The sequence below is a fragment of the Homo sapiens genome, chromosome 1 (assembly GCF_000001405.40).
Source record: "Homo sapiens chromosome 1, GRCh38.p14 Primary Assembly".
Taxonomy (NCBI): Eukaryota; Metazoa; Chordata; class Mammalia; order Primates; family Hominidae; genus Homo; species Homo sapiens.
This window is the reverse complement of record NC_000001.11, coordinates 172,840,320-172,849,695: the sequence shown is the minus strand read 5'-3', so window position 1 is coordinate 172,849,695 and position 9,376 is coordinate 172,840,320. Positions and strand designations below refer to the sequence as shown.

At 39.2% G+C, this 9,376-nt stretch overlaps 2 annotated features.

Annotated features, from left to right (window-relative positions):
- Nucleotides 4,055-4,234: an enhancer, noted in NCBI's record as "active region_2097". NCBI's record gives its function as "activates an Ori minimal core promoter by ATAC-STARR-seq in GM12878 lymphoblastoid cells {active_cell/tissue: GM12878}" and the evidence as "EXISTENCE:reporter gene assay evidence [ECO:0000049][PMID:35858748]".
- Nucleotides 5,870-6,587: an enhancer, noted in NCBI's record as "OCT4-NANOG hESC enhancer chr1:172812249-172812966 (GRCh37/hg19 assembly coordinates)". NCBI's record gives its function as "activates a minimal SCP1, AML or CMV promoter by ChIP-STARR-seq in primed H9 embryonic stem cells {active_cell/tissue: H9 hESC(primed)}" and the evidence as "EXISTENCE:reporter gene assay evidence [ECO:0000049][PMID:30033119]".

Here is a 9,376-nt window from a genome sequence, read left to right as displayed (position 1 = left end):
ATAAACAAACTTGTCACTATTTGGGTGTTTCCCAATAAAAATATATTGTAGGAAAATATTCTTTCTAAAAATTGTGCCCTTTTTAAAGGGCAAGTAATTTTTGTCTAATTCAAAGCTTATTTAAAGGTTATATATAAAACAAGGTAAAAGAAATCAGAAAATATATAAGAGAGATATAAAGAAAGTGATAAAAATAAAGAGTTTTAAAAACTATTGGTAAAATTAAAATATCTTCAAAAGTATAAACATTTGGTCTAAATTATGCAGGTAAAATATTAGGTTTGCTAAATGCTTTAGGTCATAAACTGCTTCTTTGACTTAAAAATTGTGAATTTATTTTGGAGTATTAAATTCTAGATAAGGCCTGGGACACATGGAGTTAGACACTGGAATAAGTAAGACCTTATCTACTTTCGTCTGGGTCCTAGGCTCCACACCTAGCACATAATTAAATCACAGACTTACCAAGGTTTTCACCATAAGTAAAGGTTGCTAAGAGTTAACAGTGTAACATGTATTTAAGACTATTGAAGAAACAGTTTACATGCAAGGTGTGTAAGGAAAGTAAAACACTCTTTTGGTTAAAAGATTATAAGGAGGCATGAGAATGTGGATTTTTGCCTTTTAAAGGTTAAAGGATTGTTTTAAGTGGATAAAATACAGATGAAGATTTAAGCAAGTTGTGGAAGGTAGATTGTAAAGGAAATTCTGTGTGTAAACATATTGGTTAGAGTTAAAGCAGTATCATCCAGTTTTTCTGTAAATTGAGCATTAAAATAAAAGCACAATGGAGTTCTCTCAGAGCACTAACCTGCTCTTTAACAAAAATTGTAAAGGATTATAAAAGATCTACAAAAACCTTACTTTATGGTCAAACATTAAAATTGAGTAAATATATCTATAAGGATTTATTAAGAATTGGGTTTAACATTAATAGCATACTAATGTAAAGGTGAAATTTGGCTTATTTGGTATAAAAATCGTACAGAAAGCATTGTCAAATATGAGATGGTGTTTGGTTTTCTTTAGGCTATATTTGTATAAATATGTTATTGGTATGTGTCCCAAAATCATGTGAAACTCCTATCATTCTGATATGTCTTAGTGTATGTTATCAGTAATAACTATAATTGTTATGTTAAATTATTGTGTGCTACAGAGGTAACAGATTTCCCTGTCAATTGTTGTCTTGTTTTGGTCCTCTTTAGAAGGTGCTCTTGAATGCAGGTTTCTAATAGCTTTGGAGATTGTGACATCAGAATAGAGGAAAAACATTCAGTACTCTTGAAGAACTAAAATATTCATTAATATCAAGCAGGATGGGAATTAACTGCATGAACTGAACTGATAGGAGATTGAAGTGATCTTTTTGACTTTTTGCTTAAAATGTTCCTGATCCTTTGTTTTTCTTTTCAGAGTCAAGGAAGCTTTTCTTTTGTGCTATTAACAGATTTTAACAATTAAGTAAAGTATACTCCTATGAACAAAATTTGGAGCATATTTGTTTCTCTCTGCCTTGTCCCTCTAGAATTTGGAAACTATCTGTGAGTATTCTTAATTTATGGCAATATAGTTATTTGCATAAGTGCAATAAAAATCTGTTTTCTTTTGTAACATGTCACAATTGGAACACCTGGTTATTTTAACAAGGCTTTCACTGGAATGGTATGCTCTTGTTTAAGGAATCAAACAACTTATGGAGCCAATAAAGCCCTTGGAAACCTGGCCTCATATTTTGTGTACACAGTCCCTGTATAGGGTTTCTGATCTGTGGTAAATATAGAATGTCACTTTCTGACAGGCCAGGAACCCCAAGTTATCTTGGAACCTCAAGAGGAGAGGAATTCACCCAACTCATAGGTATTTGATGGTAGAAATCCATGGCTGGGTTCATCTTTAAAAAGATCTTATCTTGGATTCCTTCTATAGAACAAAGTTCTATCAAAGACAATATAAAAGGCCTATGTGAAAAATAATTATTCTTGCAGCACTGTATACAAATAATTAGGCCAAGTGTAATAACGCAAACCAGTCCTACCATGATTTGTCTTTTAATAAAAATGGGAAACTGGAGAAAGAAAAATTATTTTTCAAAAACTACAGTACACCTGTTGCTAAATTCTAGTCTTGTGTGATGTTTTTCCTATGATTTCAGCATCTGCATCACCTGGGAACTCATTAGAGATGCAGATTCTCAGGCAGCACTCAGACCTGCTGAATCAGAATCTGTGGATGGGAATCAGAAATCTGTGCTTTAACAAGCCCAGGGGGGTACCGATGATGCTAATGTTTAAGATGTCTGGTTTACATGATCTTTACTATTGTATTTTCACTTAATCAAGTATTGCTAGAATACAGACTCTAGAGTCAGATGACAGAGATCTGAATCCCAGCTCTGCCCCTTAAAGATGCTTTATGACCTTGTACATGTTACTCGGCCTCTTTACACTGCAGTTTCCTCATTTGTTAAAGGGAGATGGCATCCTAGTTGCTAGGCCCCCTGCCTGCTGTGTCTTCCCTCTCCTTTCCTTCTTCACAGAGTTAGAGGAGTTAGATTCCTCACATTTCTGTATGTACTTCAATGGTTCTCCTGCACTTTCAGAAAGCAATCAAACTCCCAGCGATGGCATCCAAGGCCTCTCAGGACTATCCAGCACCTTCCTTACCATTCATTTCTCCACTTGCTGCTTTCACACCAGCAGGACTAAATGCCTTGGAGCTAACTTCCCAGGGGAGTCACATCATTTCAAATTGTCACTTTCCAGGTCTGTGGCTCATTCCTCTATCACCCAGAACAACACCAGCCGTCCCTTCAGATCCCGCCTCTTCAGTGAGGCTCCCGCAACACCCTCTCTTCTCTTCTCCGTCTTCTGCAGAAATGATCAGTTCTTCCACTGGATTATCACCCTATCTGACACATAAATCAGTTATGAGGCTGAAGCTCCTTGAGGGTGAGAGGCATTTTCTTGGGCCTTTGACAGGAAGCGCAGTAGCTGACACACAGAAGCATGCCCTCACTGAGCTTTTCCTCACAGAAGAAGGGGTGAGAAAAATGGGGAGCGAAATGCTAGTGGACTTATCTGAATCTTCCACTAGACTATAAGCTTTGTAAGAGTGGCAACACTGTCTCACACAGTGATCCCCAACCTTTTTGTTAGATTCTCATAAGGAAAGCGCAACCCAGATCTCTCGCATACAGTTCATGGTAGGGTTCATGCTCCTATGAGAATCTAATGCGGGAATACTCACCACTGCTCACCTCCTATTGAGTGGCCCAGTTCCTAACAGGCTACAGACTGGTGCCCCGGCCATGGCCGGGCCTTGGGGATCCCTGGTCTAGCACATTTTATCACTGTGTTTCCAATGCTACCTCAGTGCCTGTCACACAATAAATGGGCAGATATTGATTGAATAAATGAATGAGTGGAAATCTAACAATCAGCACCAAAATGGAGTCACTTCTTCATGAGAAGGCAGGAAATAGATTGGATGAGGAATATTATTTACTGTGACATCAAACACTGCCTATAAATGATCTCATGTATCCTCCCAATTTGTGCAAGTCAGAATTTATGGTGCCTCTGTAAGAGAGGATAAAGCTGAGACTCAAAACAGTGGAAGTAATTCACCAAAGGTTAAACTAGGGTCAGAGGTCAGATTTGAAGTCAGGGTCAGTCTGAAATCAAAAATTCTGCTAAATTGCTTGAAACTGTTTTCCCTAAAAACTTATTACTTCAATAGTAGAAATAAGGGACAATGCCAGTCACGATGCCAGAGAGAAAAACGTGATAGTGACCAAAAAAAAAAAAAAAAAAAAAGGGAAGAAAGGCAGGGGAGATTTGGGTGATTGCAATGAATCAATGACCTAAGAGAAACAAAGAAATGGAATGGGGAAAGTCAAAATGGGGAATAAAAAATAAGGAAAAGGAGCCCAGGGAGGACAGACAATGGCAAAAGCTGAGCTCAAGGAGCCTGTTAAGAGCAGGAAATGCTAAACAGTTTTGGAAACAATTTGAACACTATCAAAAGCAAACCCACAGGGCCTTTCTGCAACTTCAGCACCTCTGACTGCTAAGCAAGTTACAGTAAAATCCAGAAGTAGGGCAGAAGAGCAGCTCTGCGTGGGAGTTCAAAGCCACGTCAGCTCCAGGCCAGGGGGATTGCCCTGGGTGAGGACAGCCAGGGACCTATGCAGGGTGTGAGTATTTGATCAGAAGCTAGCAGGGACACAGTCCCCAGGGCACAGTCAGCTGGAGCACACTGTCTTCATTTCAGGGGACTGGAGGAGTTCCCTGGAATGAGGAAAAATATAAAGCAAAGATAATAGTACAGGCAACAGCTTTATGATTCTAGGGCTTCAAATACGACTTAAGATTTGAAGGGCGGGAAGGATGTAGATGAGTGCAGAGGGAGAAGAGGGTCTTTTAGGTGGAAAAACACCAGGAGCAAAGGCTCTAGAGTGGGAATTATTGCTTAGGGTGTGTGAGCATGCACGCATCTGTGCAAGGGGTGAGGAAAATTGACAGGGACACCTATAATACATTTGTTTTGGGAAATGAAAGGAAACAGGACTAAATATATACTTTAAAAAAATCTCTAGCCTAATTTGGACTGAAGTGTTACATGGAGTATATCTTTCAGATCACAGCATTAGTTTAAAACTAGATGTAATTTTAGAGAACCTCCCGCATAAACCCCTCATAAAATGGGACCAGTCAGTTTATGTGGCTGGATAAGAAAGTTTGAAAATAAGAACAATACATTTTCTGTTGTTAAATGCTAAATGAGTTAAAGAATAATATGCACTATTAGGGCATTTCTGGGAAATACAAGGCCTCCCTCCCTCCCTCTCTCTCCCCCCCCTTCCTTCCTTCCCTTCCTTTCTTCTTCTCTTCCTTCCTCTCTTCTCTCTTACCCTTCCTTCCTTCCTCCCTCCCTCTTCTCTCTCATCCTTCTTTCCTTCCTTCTTTCTTTCCTCCATTACTATGTACTAAATACCAACTGTATGCCAGGCACATAATAAGGGAACGTGACTGACATGATCATTGGCTAAATGCAGCTTCTCCAGTAAGAGGTGAGAGGGTGGGAGTTGTGGGGCTTGGGGTTGGTGCAAGGCTGCCTCTGTCCAATTCAATAAGCTTGATTTGGCTCTTTTTCGTCCAAGTAAGAAGAAGCTCAGTAGTTTGTACTCAGCTTTCATTTCTATTTCCTGAGTTTATTAAATAACTTTCCATAAAAATAGCTAAGCTTAACAAGAATTAAAATGATGCAAGCAGTTTGTAGATTAGTAAACGTAGTGACAAAACATGTGGGAAAGGTTCAGCCTCTGTAATAATTACGAGAAAAACAGTTTAAAACAAGTATTGCATATTGATTGAATTAGTTAAACAAATTTACTTAACATAATTATATATAAAATAATGAATTAGTTCAACCACTCTGGAGAGCTATCTGGCAGTATAAGAGCTATAGGATTCATTATACCTATTATTTAGTCCTCTCATTTTGACCATATATTTTAAGAAAAAAAAAATAAAAGGTGAAACATCAGAAATAATACTGCTTGTGATAGTTTCAAAACTTGAACAAGCTCCAGAGAACTAGCAATTTCCATGGCTTCCCTGGTATTCCCTAGAGCTTCTGTCCAATATCCAGTCTTCACTGTCATCCTCCCTAGTCCATCTTCCAGAGGACACATTTTCTCATGAAAATATCCAATAAAACTCAATATACTCCTTATATTATTATTTTAAAAGTCAATAAAAATAGAAAGTGGCTATCTACATGTCAAAACTGTTCTCTCTTTATAAGTGAATTCATTACAGGTTGGCTCATTTAAATGACAAATCTCCTCTAGCATTTACCAGTGTGATTTTTAGAGTAAATATTTGACAGAGAGGCTGGGAACAGAAAAAGGTCTACAGAACTACCTGATAAAATGTCATCAGATATCAAAACCAAACTCCACTTAAATGATTAAAAAGATAAAGAGGAAGTCGAATTTTAGTATCACATGCAACACAGGGATTCCTCAATCCATGATAACATGAATAGCCTGTGAGAGTCACCAAGGGGTAGGCACAGGAGGATGTGAGGAATGCCCTGTGCCCACATTTTCCTGAGGTCGTTCTGCAGACAATACTTCTGGAAATGGTAGCAGTGTCCTTTGTTTCCCAAAGGGTTTGGGGGGGCCAAACTAATCTGAGAACAACTTGGAAAAACAAAGCAAAAAAGTTGGCTTCTCACAGGATTTGGGGTTCTGTGTATTTCCAAGAGGGGAATCTGCACTGAAGCAGTTCCCACATTTGTTAAAGGAATCCTGTTTGGCAGAAGCATCTGGAGAGTTGATGTCAGGAAGAAGCCACTTAAGGGAACACTGGGATTTGTATTTAATTAACTTTGTAAGAAAAACATTCTGTAAAACTTGAAACAAACGCTAATTACACTTGTAATCCTAGCACTTTGGGAAGCCAAGGCAGGCAGATCGCCTGAGCTCAGGAGTTCTAGACCAGCCTGGCCAACAAGGTAAAACCCCGTCTCTACTAAAGTACAAAAAAAAAGAAATTATCTGGGCAAGGTGGCCAGCGCCTGTAGTCCCAGCTCCTTGGGAGGCTGAGGCACAAGAATTGCTTGAACCCAAGAGGCAGAGGTTCCAGTGAGCCGAAAATGCACCACTGCCCTCCAGCCTGAGTGACAGAGCAAGGCTCAGTCTTAAAAAAAAAAAAAAAAAGCTAACTACATTTATTATGTTTTGTCCTCTGATCTTTAATATTTTACATAATTGTAGTCATTGTATACATATTATTTCATACTTAATTTTTTACTTGACACAGTATTCCATTATTCTTTATTATTTCCAAGTGTTGACACAGTTAACATTGCTATCATTTAAAATACTATATATCTACAATTTTGAAACAGCATAGAGTACACAACTATTCTCAATTCATTTCAACAGACATGTATTATTAACTGTCTAGAATCTGAGGTTCTCAACACCTTTCCTGCCCCAAAACATCTCAGGGGTAAAATGCATTCTCGTAACCAATATTGGCTCACTCTGGCAATTGTTTCAGAATCTTCTGGGTTAGAGGAGGGCTGGGGTGGGGGTTGTAATTGCTAAGGAACTGATAACCACACATGATTTTCATTGCCCCTCTCCACTACTGTCTTAGTTGAGAATCTCTGTCTTAGACACTATGAATGAGACACAGTCCCAATTCTTAAGAAGTTCACAAAAAGTCAGATGTAGATACATAGACACACATATGCAGGTGCAAACACAATGCTATAACGTAAGGCTGGGTGTGAGGTAAGGTGAGGTCATATTAAAATACATAAATAAATAAATAAATAAAAGTTCTAAGATGCTCCACAGAGAAGACAAATGACTTCTACTGGGAACTTTTGGAATGAATTTTAAGGAAGACATAATCTTTTCCTCCATTTTTTCCCTCATCCCACAAATTCAGTTCATCAGCAAGTCCTTCGAAATCTAACAATAGAGAATGCTTACTGAGTGCTTACTCTGCCATGGACTTTTAAAAGTGCTTTATAAGTATTAACTTTAGTATTCATCATATCCCTATAAGTAGATATCCTCTATCTGATCTTACAGACAGACATATTGAGGATAATGAAGTTCAGTAAGTTGCTAAAGATCCCACAACTAGCGTTAGAGCTTGGTGAGCCCAGGGAGTCTAAGTCCAGAACCTGCATGTCCATCCCTATGCCATTGGTTCCCATCAGTCACATTCCATCAGTCACATCCCACATACTTCTCTTCAAACCCACTCCCTCCACTCTGATGAAGCCAGCATCATCTTCTGCTTGGATTTGTGCAATGGCTTCCTAAATGCCCTCCTTGCTTCCCCACCTTCCCCCTTTGTTAATCCAGTCTCCCTGTGTCATCCTGGGTGATCTTTCTAAAATATATGCCACTTGTTGTTTAAACCCCTTCAGTATCTCCTATCTCACCTACAGTAAAACCCAAGTTTCCTACGAAGATCCAGTGAACAAAAAACCCTGCATCACCTGACTTCTACCCAGCTCTACCACCTCACCTCACACTAGGCTCCACACACTTTGGCTTCTTTTTTTCTTCCAGATCTTTCCCTCCTCTGGGACTTCTCACTTGCTCCCCTCTGCCTGGCATAACATTCCCCAGACTCCTCCCATGGCAGGCTCCTCAGCTTCACAGACCTCCCTATCTGAAACGCATCCCTCTGTTGTTCACTCTCACATCATACTCATTTCTTCTGTAGCACTTTTCTCAGAAGTATTGTTAATTGTTCACTTATTAATAAATTGTCCCCACTAAACTATAAACTCCATGAAGACAAGGTCTGCCTTATTCACTCCTGTTTTCTCAGCAGCTAGCACAGTTCCTAGCATATAGTTGGTGCTCAATAAATATTTCTTGAATAATGAATGAATTAAGAGTAGAAATGTATAAATAAAATGCCAAATTGAATTCTCATGTGCCAAAGTGGCTCATGGCTGCCTCAGGTTGAACATGCCTTAAAAGAAAGTAGAAAGCCAGGAAACACAGCAGTCTCACTTATGCTTTCTAGACTGTGCAGCACAGTGTCATGGAACAAAAACGTAAAATGAATGTTGGAGACCTAGAGCTTCAGAATTTTCTTGACTTATTTTACAAGCTATTAAAAAAGAATATATAGGCTGGGCGCGGTGGCTCACGCCTGTAATCCCAGCACTTTGGGAGGCCGAGGCGGGTGGATCACGAGGTCAGGAGATCGAGACCATCCTGGCTAACACGGTGAAACCCTGTCTCTACTAAAAATACAAAAAAAAAAATTAGCTGGGCGTGGTGGCAGGGGCCTGTAGTCCCAGCTGCTAAAGAGGCTGAGGCAGGAGAATGGTGTGAACCCGGGAGGCGGAGCTTGCAGTGAGCCGAGATCATGCCACTGCACTCCAGCCTGGGCGACAGAGTGAGACTCCATCAAAAAACAAAAACAAAAACAAAAAAAAACAAAACAAACAACAACAACAACAACAAAATATATATATATATATGAAGAGGAGGAGGAGGAGACTATATATATATAAGACGGAGGAGGAGGGGAAGAGGAGGGAGAGGAGGAGAAGGGGGATAGAGAGAAGGGGAGGAAATGCTAATATTTATTCATTAGGTCCTGTTCTAAATGCTTTTATGTATAAACGCATTTACTTCTTATAACAACTGCTAGGGTTATCTGTCCCAGCATAATTAACTATCCCTAATATTAGTGGCTGAAACAAAAGGCATTTTCATTATAGCTCACAGTTATGTCATGTAGGAGTCTGAGCAGAGCTGGGATGGACCATTTGTCTGTTTTGCACAGCATTTACTTGGTGATCTTCAGCCAGACTGATA